At 35.8% G+C, this 15,602-nt stretch overlaps 2 protein-coding genes across 8 annotated transcripts in view; one reads left to right on the top strand and one right to left on the bottom strand.

Annotated features, from left to right (window-relative positions):
- PEX1 (peroxisomal biogenesis factor 1) overlaps positions 1–15,602 on the top strand; it is a 41,496-nt gene that overhangs the window by 21,741 nt on the left and 4,153 nt on the right. For 4 of the 5 annotated variants that reach the window (NM_000466.3, NM_001282678.2, XM_047420473.1 and 1 more), the window contains 11 exons: positions 436–532; positions 1,878–2,048; positions 3,585–3,739; positions 4,701–4,890; positions 5,107–5,273; positions 6,942–7,076; positions 10,003–10,067; positions 12,151–12,293; positions 12,384–12,487; positions 13,651–13,827; positions 15,278–15,508. In NM_000466.3, the coding sequence (NP_000457.1) occupies positions 436–532; positions 1,878–2,048; positions 3,585–3,739; positions 4,701–4,890; positions 5,107–5,273; positions 6,942–7,076; positions 10,003–10,067; positions 12,151–12,293; positions 12,384–12,487; positions 13,651–13,827; positions 15,278–15,508 (1,635 nt within the window). The remainder of the gene's footprint in view (positions 1–435; positions 533–1,877; positions 2,049–3,584; positions 3,740–4,700; positions 4,891–5,106; positions 5,274–6,941; positions 7,077–10,002; positions 10,068–12,150; positions 12,294–12,383; positions 12,488–13,650; positions 13,828–15,277; positions 15,509–15,602) is intronic. The other variant, NM_001282677.2, reaches the window with a different exon arrangement.
- GATAD1 (GATA zinc finger domain containing 1) overlaps positions 11,011–15,602 on the bottom strand; it is a 48,288-nt gene continuing 43,696 nt past the window's right edge. For 2 of the 3 annotated variants that reach the window (XR_927494.4, XR_927503.4), the window contains one exon: positions 11,011–15,537. The gene's annotated coding sequence lies outside the window, so the exon portion shown is untranslated. The remainder of the gene's footprint in view (positions 15,538–15,602) is intronic. The other variant, XR_927500.4, reaches the window with a different exon arrangement.

Raw genomic sequence — 15,602 nt, 5'->3', positions numbered from 1 at the left:
CCATGCCCTTTTTCTGTGTCAGTTGATACAATTATATGGTTTTTCTTTTTTAGGCTATTAGGTGTTGATAGGGTTGAGTAACTTACAAATGTTGAACCAGCCTTGCATACCTGTGATAAATACCACGTAGTTGTGGTGTATCATTCTTTCTACATTGCTGAGTTTTATCTGCTAATGTTCTGTTGAGCTTTTGTCCATTTAAGTTTGAAAGTGATTAGTTTGCAGTTTTCTGTTTTTGTGTTGTCTTTGTCTGGTTTTGCTATCCGTGTAAATCTGGCCTCATAAAATGAGATGGGAAGTATTCTCTCCTCTTCTTTTGTTTTTTTGGAAGAGGTTGTATAAAATTGAGGCTGAATCTTGGTGGTTGCCACAATGACAGGAACTATTTCTGTGACTGAATATATTGGGAATTCCTATAAAGCAATTATTTTCTAGGGAAGTGGAAAATCAACTTTAGCCAAAGCAATCTGTAAAGAAGCATTTGACAAACTGGATGCCCATGTGGAGAGAGTTGACTGTAAAGCTTTACGAGGTATGAGTATGGTAACACTCTATATAAATCCCTTTTTCATTAGAAAGACAGGAATGTTATACATAATGCTGTCAATCTAATAAATACACATATCATCTAGTCTTTAACTTTTCTGTTTATCATTTAGTCATTAAAATTTCTTTGGCTTTCTAATGTTTTTGATAAAATTTCTAAAACTCTCCATATTTAATGGAGGCCTATTTTTTTTTCTAGCCAGAACTTTTTGTAGACTACATTTCTGGAAGTGCTCACTGACACCACTCTGAAAAATTAGTACTTAGAATATACTCTAATTGGTATAAATGATCTCTGAATTGCTATGGAAAACTGGGAGAATGGTTGCTTCAGGGGAGAGAAAGTAGGAGGCTGTGGACAGCAATGAGGAGAATTACAGTTCACCATATAACACTTTTGTACTTTTAAAGTCCTTAACATTTACATTATTATCTATTCAATTAAAAAATATTGGGAAGATTTTACTTTGAACAGTTAATTTTTCCCCCATGGGTACCGCTGTCATATAGTTCCAACTAATCATGAACTTGTGTATTTCCTGTTCTTTGTAAATTTAAACTTTGTAACTCACCAGGAAGTTTGAAGCCAAATTTGTGTTTCAAATATAGCAACTCCAGGATCTCTAGGCAGATGCATTTGCATTTGATTTTAAATGAATCTTGATCCCTTACTCTCACTTATGTTTTCCCACATCCTACTTTTTTTATTTTGTTGTAAGCCATCTAAAATTCTCAATGGGATGAAACTGGGTATAAATGAATACATGCATACAGGAATTATAGTAGCATATTCCTTTTCTTTTTTCTTTTTTTTTTTTTTTGAGACAGAGTCTTGCTCTGTAGCCCAGGCTGGAGTGCAGTGGTGCGATCTCGGCTCACTATAGCCTCCACCTCCCAGGTTCAAGCAATTCTCGTGCCTCAACCTCCCGAGTAATTGGGACTACAGGTGCATGCCACCACACCTGGCTAATTTTTGTATTTTTTAGTAGAGATGGGGTTTCACCATGTTGGCCAGGCTGATCTCAAACTCCTGACCTCAAAGTGATCTGCCTGCCTTGGTTTCCCAAAGTGCTGGGATTACTAGCATAAGCCACTGCACCTGGCCTCCTTTTCTGAGTTTTATAAAATTTGATACTTTACTGCACGCTTTGAGACTGTATTAATTGAACCATGTTGATGAACAAGTTTTTGTGATGGGTATATTAATAAAATATAGATCAAATTTTTATAGTTAAATCAATATCGAGCTTTTCTAGTGCTTTCAAAAGGACAACCTGAATTTTCCCAGCACTGAAATGATACTGAAACCATTTCATATCTTCTGTATTAAGGAAAAAGGCTTGAAAACATACAAAAAACCCTAGAGGTGGCTTTCTCAGAGGCAGTGTGGATGCAGCCATCTGTTGTCCTGCTGGATGACCTTGACCTCATTGCTGGACTGCCTGCTGTCCCGGAACATGAGCACAGTCCTGATGCGGTGCAGAGCCAGCGGCTTGCTCATGGTAAATGCATCCACCACTGGCTTAAGGTCTTGTTCTTTTGTCAGTCAGCATTTTTAGTCTTAACAATAAATCTACTCTCTTCAGAGAATAATATATGTGTTATGTTAAGTGTTGTGTTTGAGGCCCCTGATGGCATTCTACAGTTGTCCTATAGACTGTAATAGCAAAATTGGTAGAGTAAAAACAGTGTGAAAATTCTGCAACTTCATGGTTAGTCCTTTAGGGTTTTTCATTCTCCCTTACTTATTGTTTAATTTACAGATTTACTCTTTTGTTCATTTGACAAATATTTGTCAAATGCTTGTGCACAGTCTGTATTCTCAAATTCTAGGAGAAAAAGAAGGGTGAACAGTATTAGCGCAGAACGATACTAATAATGATGGCTACTGTGTATGAGTAGCCAGCCCTTTCTTGGCTTTCTTGGATTGCTTTGTATTCTACATGAAGATATTCCCTGGGCTTTACAGGTCAATAAATGGAAATTCAGAGAGATTAATTTGACCAGGGTGACCAACAAGGAGATGACAGCATACACTATGCGAGAAGTATACACAGAGTAGTGTAGGAGCATATAACCTAAACTGGGGGTGAGGTGGGATAAGGAGTTATCAGGGAAGGCTTTTTGGAGGAGTTGACAACTGAGCCGAGTTTTGATGGAAGAGTAGAAATTAGCATGAACCAATTTCATGCTAATAAAGAAGCAAAGGAAGCGTGGTCTACAGGCAAAAGCACAGAGGTACAGGAAGTAATGATATGTTGGGGAATACCCTGTTGACTGGAGCTTAGAGTGCAAGGAGAGGAGTGCTAGGGAGGTGAGGTTGGAGGGTTTGGCAGCATTGACTTGCTTCAAGGTTCTTAAGAGCTGAAATAGATATAAAATGCAACTAAGAGTGGCTTGGATTATTATTACCTAGTGTGTTAATCTCAAATTTTGAAATCTATAGCATCTATAGGACTGGTGTTACTAATCTTACACTCGATCTGTTACTGTTCTTATACTAGATCTATTAGTCCAGTGTTTAAGGGAGTGGTGCAGATTTCTAGGTCAGGACAGGACTCAGATGTACATTATTAATGCCTATTTCAGTTCTGACCTTCTCATATGAAACCTTATAAGACCTGGGGTAGGAAGAGATTGTTCTGGAAGTCATAGGAATATGAACTGTATTTTGTTTAACAAACAATACAGTATGGAAATTTATCACCCTTCCAGAATATTTATTTCAGAGACAAATTTTTATCATTCGTTCATTTATTTCATAAGATCCACGAGTAGGGAACCTCACTAGACATTGCTCTGAGTATATGGTCTGAGTTTGCAGTACCTCTTGTGTCTCCATTAGATTTATTAGGTCCTCAATAGATAAATCAGGGAATAACTAGATGGATTCATTTTTTAAAGACATGAAAGAGCGATACCATACATACTGCACCTTAAAGGTCAACCTTAGAGTATCATTATTTTTAATGAATGTATAATTTTTAAATTTCATGTTTACTTTTCCTAAGCTTTTGCACTATATTGCTTAATTCCAGCTTTGAATGATATGATAAAAGAGTTTATCTCCATGGGAAGTTTGGTTGCACTGATTGCCACAAGTCAGTCTCAGCAATCTCTACATCCTTTACTTGTTTCTGCTCAAGGAGTTCACATATTTCAGTGCGTCCAACACATTCAGCCTCCTAATCAGGTAATACACTACTTGTAAGGATTATTGAATTATGTCCCTTTTATAGAAATTATTTTTCAATTTTATTAGTAATTCGTGGCTTTAAATTTATGCTTCTCTTAATGATTTTAAGGATATGTAAGTCAACATTTGGTGCATATTGTGCTAGAGGCATAAATTATAATTTATAGCCACCTGAAATGTTAGTATGCGCTTTCCAAGAAAATGACTTTTTTGAAAATGGTATTTCTTTGAATGAGAAAGAACAGAGAGAAATAGATAGATGGCTTTTAAACACTTCATTAATTAAACTTTTTTTTTCCACCATCACATAATGGCACTTAGTCCCCTTTGGGAACTCATGAGGGTTTTAGTGGTAGTGAGCTGAAAGAAATATGTTCCAGGACTGGCAAACATATTCTAAATTCTTTAAAATTTTCACCTAGCATCTACCCTAAATATTCAGACCCTGTGCTAGTTAACTGCTATTGAAGAACAAAGGTATTATATCTATTATTAAGGATAATAGAATGGTATTTGAGATATTGGTCATTGAATATGAATATGTTTTGAGAAATAAGTTTTATAGGAACCAAAAAAAAATTCTTAAAGGAACCATATATTACTAAAAATGCTTCTTATTGGAGAAAGAAATGACAATCATTTATTAATGTGATTTTTTCACAACTTTATTAAGATATAATTTAAGTACAACAAACTCACATAAAGTGTACAATTTGATCAGTTTTAACATATGTAGATGCCATGAAACCATCACCACAATTAAGGAAACAAACATTTTCATCACTCCAGAAGTCTCCTAGCCCTTTTACTACCCATTCCTCCCCTGCTCCATCCCCAGACAACTACCAATTTGCTTTCTGTCACTATAGATTTGTCAACCTGATTTTCTCCAAATATACATTCAAAAATATACAGTTGAATACAATTGGAAATTCGAATTTTGTGTTTTTTTCTTTAGGAACAAAGATGTGAAATTCTGTGTAATGTAATAAAAAATAAATTGGACTGTGATATAAACAAGTTCACCGATCTTGACCTGCAGCATGTAGCTAAAGAAACTGGCGGGTTTGTGGCTAGAGATTTTACAGTACTTGTGGATCGAGCCATACATTCTCGACTCTCTCGTCAGAGTATATCCACCAGAGAAAGTATGTTTTACTATTAAAACCTGAACTTGGAATCTTCTTTCTATTGTGGAGAAATGTAATTGTAGTAAGACAAGAATTAAATATATTCCATTGTAGTATTTGAATAAGCAGTTATTTGAGTAGAAAATTAGTGTTTCCAGCTAAGATGATGGCATATTTTGAAAATTCATATAGTGAATATAACTAGTAAAAGAAGTTTTGTTTATTTTTAAACAGAATTAGTTTTAACAACATTGGACTTCCAAAAGGCTCTCCGCGGATTTCTTCCTGCGTCTTTGCGAAGTGTCAACCTGCATAAACCTAGAGACCTGGGTTGGGACAAGATTGGTGGGTTACATGAAGTTAGGCAGATACTCATGGATACTATCCAGTTACCTGCCAAGGTATGTTTAAAAAAAGAAAAAGTGAATACTTACTCCCAGAAGAACCACTGTATTATTGGCTTTGGCTTTATGTGTCAGCTTGCCCAATCTCCGTGTGAGTCAACAAGTGTTTACTGAGTTACCAAATAAATGTCTTAACACTATTTTAGGTACTTTAACAAATTTTAATTTTATTAATTAATTTTTTATTAGAATTGAGACCTCACTCTGTCATCTAGGCTGGAGTACACTCACAGCTCACTGCAACCTCAAACTCCTGGGCTCAAGCAATCCTCCTGCCTCAGCCTCCCCAGTAGCTAGAACTACAGGCATGAACCACCATGCCCGGCCAACTCTTTAATTTTCTTAGAGACGGAGTCTTGCTATGTTGCCCAGGCAGACAGATTTTAATGTGTATGATGCAGTCTTTGATGATAAGAAACTTATAATGGAAAGCTGAGGTGATAGTTACAGTAAATACATTTTGATGTATAATTCTGTTTGCTTTAATCATTCAAATTGTAGTAAAGCAAGATGAACTGTCTGCTGGGATTTGAGCAGAAATGGATAGGAATAAACTAGGAGGTAGAAGAGTTATCAAGGTTCACAGGACTGATGGGTGAAGCTAGATTTCCAGACCCGGGATGTCAGTCCTTGAAAAGCAGACTTGGCAGGCATAGACGAGGCAGATAGCAGGATAAAGGAGACAAATGTAGATTGTTCTTCAGAAGATCAGATGGTAGAGTCTAGGAGGTAGTGTGTTTTAATCAGAGATCTGAGAGGCAAAGATCATTGCATGAGATCAGGGACCCATGCAAAGGAGTGAGAAAAAAAACTGGGTTAAGGAGCCTGCTGCATGGCAACTCCTGGGAACAGTGGCCACTGGGGCCTGGGACATGTTGATTGCAGCCCAGGACTGTTAAAACCAGTGTGAGAGAACATGGGTATGGAAGTACTAGCTAGCAGGATCATGACCCCGATGCTGGGATGGGGCATCAAGCATTAGTACATGGAGATTCAGTACATCCAGATGCAGTACATGGAGACTATATGCGTAACTGCTGACTTTGGGCTTCTTTCAGATTGGAGCAGAGGTAGAGGTGAGTGGGAATATTCTCAATAGAGGGAACTAAATAGGCATACCTAATAAAGGAGACCAGGATATTGCAGACAGTAGCCTCATGTTTGGCTCACCTGTTCAAAAAGTTCTCTTGTTCTTGAGCAGTGGTGCCTTAAAAGGTAACTTGAGAAGCAGTCGATTATTTGTTCAGCCTGGAGACTCTTGGGATATTTTACTATCTTTGATTGAATAGATTTAAATGTACACAGCTCTCATAACTTGCCCCATGAAGCATATCCATGAAAGGCACTATACTTGTTAAAAGATTGGTTTGTACTTTTTAAATGTAGTACTTTTAATAAAACAGGAAAAATAGAAGTTCTGATGCAGTTATATGCATTTTATATAGAATGTGTTCTTAATTGGAAAAAATTTGTCGTAGTTCCTTTGAGTTCATTTACAGTTTTTAGTAGGAATTGTATTTTCTACTGTTGTACTTGCTGTTACTAAAGAAAGATGGTCGTGATTACCATCTGAATTTTTTTTCTATACATTGATCTTTAGCTGCTACTTAGTCATTTCTGTTTAGACTTGAGCTCTTTTTCATATTTTTTTTTTTTGTTTCTCAGTATCCAGAATTATTTGCAAACTTGCCCATACGACAAAGAACAGGAATACTGTTGTATGGTCCGCCTGGAACAGGAAAAACCTTACTAGCTGGGGTAATTGCACGAGAGAGTAGAATGAATTTTATAAGTGTCAAGGTATGTTGTCTACTTATCTTCTTTTTTTATTTAGGTAAAATTAACATAAATGCAGTTAGCCATTTCAAAGTGTAAATTCACTGGCATTTAGTGCATTCACAATGCTATGCAACCACCACCTCTCTCTAATTTCAAAACTTTTTCATTCCACTCCTCCTCTTGCTTATCCCCTGGCAACCATTCATCTGCTTTTTGTCTCTATGGATTTGCCTTTTCTGTATATTTCATATAAAACAAATCATGCAATATGTGACCTTTTTTGTCTGGCTTCTTTCACTTATGTAATGTTTTCATGGTTCATCCAGGTAGTAGCATGTATCAGTACTTCATTCCTTTGCATGACTGAATAATGTTACCATACTTTGTTTATCCACTTATCAGTGGTGAACATTTGAATTGTTTCTACCTTTTGACTATTATGAATAATGTTGCTGTAAATATTCATGCACAAATTTCTCCACGGATATGTTTTCATTTCTCTTGGGTATAAACTGAGGAGTAGAATTCTTGGGTCTTAGGGTAATTCTCTAACTTTTCAAAGAACCACCAAACTGTCTTTCACACCAACTGCACCATTCCCACTAGCAGTGTGGGGGGTTCCTGATTCTCCACATCTTTACCAACACCATTATGTTTCTCAATTGTGGGCTAGTCTCACATTTGGAAAGCTAGTGGGAGCAGCGATCCATCTATTAAAAGTTGTATGAAATTGAGTAATGAGCCACCTCTCTCTTGTAGGGCTTATTATGTTCTTGCTTAAGGCAATCTTCATGCATTGTGAACAGAATTATACATAAATGCTCAGATAAAAGGGCAAACCATTCTTAAAGGGAGTAGACAACTAGAGGCAGGAGACCATACTGAGGCAGGAAGCTGGGGTTTTTATGGTTCTGTTACTTTTGACTATATCTCACCATTGCTTTTGTCAAAGTGAGACTAGGTCTAAGTTTTTTTCAGGTATAAGGTGAGTGTGGTAATTAAGGGGCATGCTAGCAGATCATTTTGGGTAATGCTTCACAGTCCACCACTGGTGTGTCATTGTGGTCGCAGATCCAGTATCTTAGCTGTGTAATTTCAGACATCAGCAATATTAGTTTAACAAAGGGCAATTAGATTCCAAGACAAAGGAATCGTGTATTATTCTAGCCTTATTCAAACTTGATTTATAAATCAGTTTAGTAATTTATTTATTTGTTTCTGTATTTATTTTTATTTCTTTGAGATGGAGTCTCACTCTATTGGCCAGGCTGGAGTGTAGTGATGCAATCTTGGCTTACTGCAACCTCTGCCTCCTGGGTTCAAGCTATTCTCCTGCCTCAGCCTCCCGAGTAGCTGGGATTACAGGCTAATTTTTGTATTTTTAGTAGAGATGGGGTTTCACCATGTTGGCCAGGCTGGTCTTGAACTCCTGACCTCGAGTGATCTGCCCGCCTTGGCCTCCCAAAGTTCTGGGATTACAGACGTGAGCTACCGTGCCCAGCTCAGTTTAGTAATGTATAACTGGGTTTTACCCAGTTGTAAATTACTCTTTTGTCGTGTTTTTTTGAGAACTGGCAATGACGGAGAAACTAAAAGTGCCAGGCTGTTGCCTTGTTCCTGTTATTTTGCCTTAGTTTTTTTTTTTTTTTTTTTTTTCTCTGAGACTGAGTCTTGTTGTGTTACCAGGCTAGAGTGGAGTGGCATGATCTCGGCTCACTGCAACCTCTGCCTCCTGGGTTCAAGTGATTCCTGCCTCAGCCTCCCGAGTAGCTGGGATTACAGGCGCCTGCCACCGCACCCGGTGAATTTTTGTATTTTTAGTAGAGACGGGATTTTACCATGTTGGCCAGGCTGGCCTCGACCTCCTGACCTCATGATCCACCAGCTTCGGCCTCCCAAAGTGCTGGGATTACAGGCGAGAACCACCGTGCCCGGTCTTGCCTTAGTTATTTCTTGTTCCCTCCTCTAGTCCTATAGTTCTCTGACTGTATTGAGGAAATGTAATTAAATATTATTATGTTAATAGATATTTATGTGGTTGAATATTAGAAATTCCTTATTTTGGTCACATATCCTGATCAGTAGTTGGTCTTCTGGAGATAGTGATTTTTCACTAGAGATGACTTTAGGACCTATTCAGGTTTTTTTTAAGATCCCAATTTAAGGAAAGACTATTCTCATTATTGATTTTGCTATATGCAGGGAAATTTATTTCGAAAGGTTTTTCAGTTGGCTTTTAGGGAAGATTATATATTCTCTTTTTTTTTTTTTGGCCTTTTCCCACATGTTCTAAAAATGATATATTCTTTAACTCCTATGAAAATACATTGTTTCAGTAATTGAAGATGCTGATTAAAGTCATATCTCTACACATTTTTTAAAATTTGAGATAGATGGGACTTTGTCCCTTCTTACACCATTCACTTATTCACTTGGAAAAACTATTATCCAATACTTATGTGGCAGACACTGTTTCTGGCACAAGGGATTCAGCAGTGAACAAAACTGCCTTTTTGGAGTTTACATTCTACTAGTGGAAAGCGACAACAAGCAGATAGACACATTCAGTATATAATTCACTGTCAGATGGTGGTGGTAAGTCCTATGTAGGAAGAAAAGCAGGGTAAGGAGGCTTGGAGTAACTGGAGTGAGTCATAGATGGACTTGTCAGGAAAGGGTTTCTGAAGAGGTGGTATTTGGGCAGAGATCTAAATAAAATGAAGCAACAAGCCATGAGAATATCCGGGGGAAAATGTTCTGGGCAGAAGCATCAAGCATAGAACTTGTGGTATGATATTTATTCTAGCACACATTAATTTTAAAAATGTATAAAAGACATCCATTTAATCATATTAAAGATTTCCATGATTCATTTAGACTTAGTCAGAAACCAAATTTATATTTTCTTTTTAAATAATTTTATCTCAACTCTTATTTTACCCAATAGGGGCCAGAGTTACTCAGCAAATACATTGGAGCAAGTGAACAAGCTGTTCGGGATATTTTTATTAGGTTGGTAGCCTATGAATGTTTTTAAAGTAACTGACTCTGTTATTATTTATCAATCAGTGCTTTTTTTGGTCTTGTTTTTTGAAGAACTGATATTTGAAACCTGTGGTTTATGTGAATTATTAATAAGCTAGAGGACGTGGATTCTCTATTTCATCAAATAATACAAAACATTTTAGATATTAAATTTTGGAAATTATTTGGTTTTGTTTTACAATAGAAATACTCCTCAAAGTGGAATCGAAGTGGTTATTCAAAGAAATCTCAGAGTAGATTCTTATATGAAGCAAATAATTGCCCCTAATTTATCTCTAAATTTTGTAAGTTCTAAATTCTTTTTTCCCCCAGTTTCTAATTTATCTCTTATAAGTCAAGAGTCCATCTGGCCAATTTAATTTCAGTGAGTGTAACTATTTTGCATATATTAAAAAACTGTATATGAATACAGAAGATGGTATTTAAGGATGAAAATAATTATTCAAATGTGATAGCATTATGGGGAGTTTTAAAATAAAAGTTACTGTTTTATTCTTCCAAAAATTTTATTATAAAGTATACAGTTAAGAGAATATACATAAAATACATATGCAGCTTAAGGAAGAATAATAAAATGAATACTTCATGTATTCACCACCGAGTTTACCAGGAAAAAGCATAAACAAAATAAACCTCTTCCACGTAATTCCTGGGTTAAAGAGAAGTTATAGTGGAAAATATTTGGGAGCAAACGATAATGAAAATACTATCCATTAAAATTGTTAGATGTTGCAAAACTGATTTCAAGGAAAATTTATAGTGTTAAATGTTTAGAAAAGAAAAAAGGTTAGAAGTTAACCACTTATGTATCTATCTCATGAAATTAGGAAAATTATAGATATAAACTAAAAAATATGTTAAAAGGGAAATAATAAAGATAAGAATGAAGTTTAATGAAACACAAAACAGAGAAGCTCACAAAGCCAAGATTTATTTTTTGAACACCGAGTACAATTGACAAATCTCTAACAAGTTTGATTAAGAAAAAAGAAAGCATGAATAAACAATTTTAGGGATAAAAAGGGAAACATCGCTAAAGATATCCCAGAAATGTAAAAGATAATAAGGGAATATTATGAAAATATTCATGCCAATACATTTGAAAACTTAGGTGACATAGACAAAAACAAAATTGACCAAAATTGAGCAAAAAAGAAACAAAATCTGAGTAGTCCTGTAACTTAGTAAAAATTGAGTTAGAAAAGTTAAAGAAGTCTTTACACAAATCAAACATCAGACTCAGTTTTCTAGGAGAGTTTTGCCAAACATTCAAGTAGCAGATAATTCTGGTCTATTTTTGGCCCCAGAAGATATATTTTACTTGCCATGCATTTAATGAGATAGCTGTTGATTTTTTTCAATCACCGTGACAGGTGTTTTATATTAGGTGTTATTCGCCAGACATCTAGTCCACCTGTTGCCAGATATGGAATTAATATTCACTTATTTTGAATTAAAATTTGTTAATAAATTAATAAAACAAAGTCAAAGTTCAAATTATTAAAAAAGTAAAAGAAATAAAATATATTTTATAGAGAGCCCTTACAAAACAGTACCAACATAATGAGCTTTCCAAATTTTGAATGGGCAAAATAAATGAATAGGCATTTCACAAAAGAAGGAAGGGTGGCCAATAAGTATATATTAATATAAAAATGGTTACTTGTAATAGGAATCAAAAGTGTTTGACTTATTGACTAAGAGTCAGTTTTTGTTTTGATCCCTGTTAGTCTATCCAGAAGGCATGGGTCTTAATAAACACCTTGACCTCAACAGTTTACTGAATACAAGGGTAATTTCATATGCCTTGCCTTCTTTAAGGGTTTGTTGTAAAGATTAAAATAAATACATAAATATATATAAATACATTTATATGTATTTATATGTAATTACATACAACTTGCCTTCTTTAAGGGTTTGTTGTAAAAATTAAAAGAAGTATATAAATATATATAAATACATAAAATAAATACATTCATATATGTATATGAAATCACTTTGCCAACTATGAAGCCTGATTCAAATATGAAATGTTGTTTGTTTTTCCCAGAGCACAGGCTGCAAAGCCCTGCATTCTTTTCTTTGATGAATTTGAATCCATTGCTCCTCGGCGGGGTCATGATAATACAGGAGTTACAGACCGAGTAGTTAACCAGTTGCTGACTCAGTTGGATGGAGTAGAAGGCTTACAGGGTAATAATTATAAATACAGAAATAGAATGTTATAACAAAATGTCATCATGTCATCAGATTTTGGTAAAAAAATGTTCTTTTTTCCTCTAGGTGTTTATGTATTGGCTGCTACTAGTCGCCCTGACTTGATTGACCCTGCCCTGCTTAGGCCTGGTCGACTAGATAAATGTGTATACTGTCCTCCTCCTGATCAGGTGACAATTTCATATTTAGAGTCCAAAACCCAACAAATGCTACACTCTTTCCTTGTGAGCTTTACTTCTGCCAGGTAATGGCAATTGTCCTTAGAAGACCAGCTTTCTTAGGGAAAAGCTTTAGCCACTGTTTGCTCAAAGCATAAAAAGATTCTGAATTAGATGCAAAGCCTTTTTTTGGCCCAGTGCAAGTCTGAAAACTTTGTAATCCTTCTGTGTTGGCTGATTGGGGAAAAAAAAATGCAAGAAACCTAATGTATTATATTTTCACATTATCTTCTGTTCAAAGATTACATACTTCCATTATCCTGTCAAAAAAAAAACTCTGATACAGAATCAAGCATGTGAATCGTAAGCATGTAAGCAGGTTTCATAGAGATAATTTTTCAACTCTTCCTTGTCCTGTGTTGTTCCAACTCTTATTCTCCAATTTAGAAGCAAACAAATAAATGAATGAAAGAACAGATAGACAAATGAATAGTCAAAGGTATAAAGTATCTGTATATATGTTACATGTAGCTATTATTTAAATTATTTAGATTTTCCTTTTGAAATACCTTCTTGGCACACTTGCCTAAATCTAGAAAATAAGCACTGTGTGAATAAGAAATTATTTACACTGAATATTTTGTAGGTTTTTGGGTTTTTGTTTTTCAGACAAGGTCTCACTTTGTCACCCAGGCTGGAGTACACTGGTACGATCACAACTCACTGCAGCCTCTATGGCCCAGGCTCAAGCAATCTCCCCACCTCAGCCTCCCGAGTAGCTGGGACCACAGGCACACGCTACCATGCCCAGATAATTTTATTATTAATTTTTGTATAGAGATGGGGTCTCCCTGTGTTGCCCAGGCTTTCTTGAACTCCAGGGCTCAAGTGATCCTCCCACCTCAACCTCCCAAAGTGTTGGGATTACAGGCGTGAGCCACCATGCCCAGCCTTAAGAGTGTTTGATTTTCATTCATTTTCCTATATATATTATTTCTGTTGGGGAAAAAATTCCAAGGAAGATAAATAGTAGGCTGTTGGTACATTTCTCAACTTACTTATAAAGCTTTTTAGATATATAAGGTTAATTTATGAAGAAAATCATAAGATACACAATTTAAGATAATATTTTTAATTTTATTTTTTATTTGTTAAATAAATTTTTCTCCTTTCAGGTGTCACGTCTTGAAATTTTAAATGTCCTCAGTGACTCTCTACCTCTGGCAGATGATGTTGACCTTCAGCATGTAGCATCAGTAACTGACTCCTTTACTGGAGCTGATCTGAAAGCTTTACTTTACAATGCCCAATTGGAGGCCTTACATGGAATGCTGCTCTCGAGTGGACTCCAGGCAAGTTATATGAGGAAGTTGTTATGACATTTTATGAGTGATAAAAGAAGTACAATGTCAAAATTTCCACCTTAAAAAATGCTATTTTTTAAACAACTTTGGTAAAACTGTATAGAAACATAAATTTACCTTTAGTTGAATGTTCCATAGTTGGAATATGGGTTTTGCAGAGAATTTATAATTATGAAGTTTGATGTCTGTTTCTTTAACATTACCTTAATATTGGCAAAAACATGTTGGTGTTTGCAAGGATATTATTTAAATTGGGATACCATGAATTAAATACTACAAACAAAAATAATTAGAGTTTTTTGTTTGTTTGTACTTTAACTTTTAAAAAATAATCAGTTAAAGTTGTTGTTTTGAAGCTCACATTGTTCCAATCTGGCCAATAGGAGCCCCTTTTGTATGGCTCCTGTATCTTTATGACATGTCCTCATCATTCTTGAATCACTTCCTCACTTCCAGATACAGTAAGTTATTCTTGGCCAGGTGCAGTGGTTCACGCCTGTAATCCCAGCACTTTGGCAGGCCAAGGCAGGAGGATCATTTGGGCCTAGTTTGAGACCAAATCATGGTTGCACAAACTGTACCCACTATGGACAACAGAGTGGGATCTTGTCTCTGTGAAAAATTTAAAAATTAGCTGGGCATGGTGGCACATACCTGTAGTCCTAGCTTCTTGGGAGAGGCTGTGGCAGGAGGATCGCTTGAGTAAATCCAGGATGCAGTGAGCCATGCTTGTGCCACTGCACTCCAGCATGGATGACAGAATGAGACCCTGCCCCCAAAAAAGAAAAATATTCTTGGTTTATCTTGTACTTTCTGTATCCCAGCCCTAGCATCAGCCTTTTCTCTAAAGACAGTATTATGATTTTAATATTTACAGTAGATATTTGAACTGTTACATTATAGACTTTACCATATATTTTCTAGGAAGGATTATTCTATTACTCTTCTTTACCACATTTGTTTGGAATGTCTACAGAACCTACAGTTTCTAAATCAGAAACTCCCTAGGTTTTTGCTATTTTGGCAAGCCATTGAAGTTCTTCCCTCTCCCTTTACTACCAGAAAGGTGTGTATTTGTAGAGCTCTCTATAATGAGAAAGCACTCTATAACATGGTTGATTCATCATTTTGGAGTAGAAAAGTATGAATGGAAAGTCAGAGACATAAAAATAAAGCCCAGAGGTCTGAGTCTTAGCTTCATTACAGACTTTCTTGGGGGATGGTTGGTAAATTATCTACACATTCTATCTTGTCTTTATAATTTTAATAGTTAAATTTTTACCATGTGCCTCAAAACCGTTAGAGAATTAATGAGCTCTTTGAAAAATGCTTCTAAGTTTCTTGTATTGCTCTAATAGAATGCTATCTATGTTATTATTTATTTCTGAGACTAAAATTGTTTACATCTTTAAACTGGTTGTCCTTTTGTGTATTTTAGGATGGAAGTTCCAGCTCTGATAGTGACCTAAGTCTGTCTTCAATGGTCTTTCTTAACCATAGCAGTGGCTCTGACGATTCAGCTGGAGATGGAGAATGTGGCTTAGATCAGTCCCTTGTTTCTTTAGAGATGTCCGAGATCCTTCCAGATGAATCAAAATTCAATATGTACCGGCTCTACTTTGGAAGCTCTTATGAATCAGAACTTGGAAATGGAACCTCTTCTGATTTGGTATCTTGTGCAGTCATCATTATACAGTTCTGAAATATAAAGCTATATGTTGGTGTAAAGTTGCAGTGATTTCTCTCCTAACCAGCCCCACATA

Source organism: Homo sapiens, chromosome 7 (assembly GCF_000001405.40).
Source record: "Homo sapiens chromosome 7, GRCh38.p14 Primary Assembly".
Taxonomy (NCBI): domain Eukaryota; kingdom Metazoa; phylum Chordata; class Mammalia; order Primates; family Hominidae; genus Homo; species Homo sapiens.
Note: the sequence above shows the minus strand (reverse complement) of the source record. Positions and strands in the feature narration are given on the sequence as shown.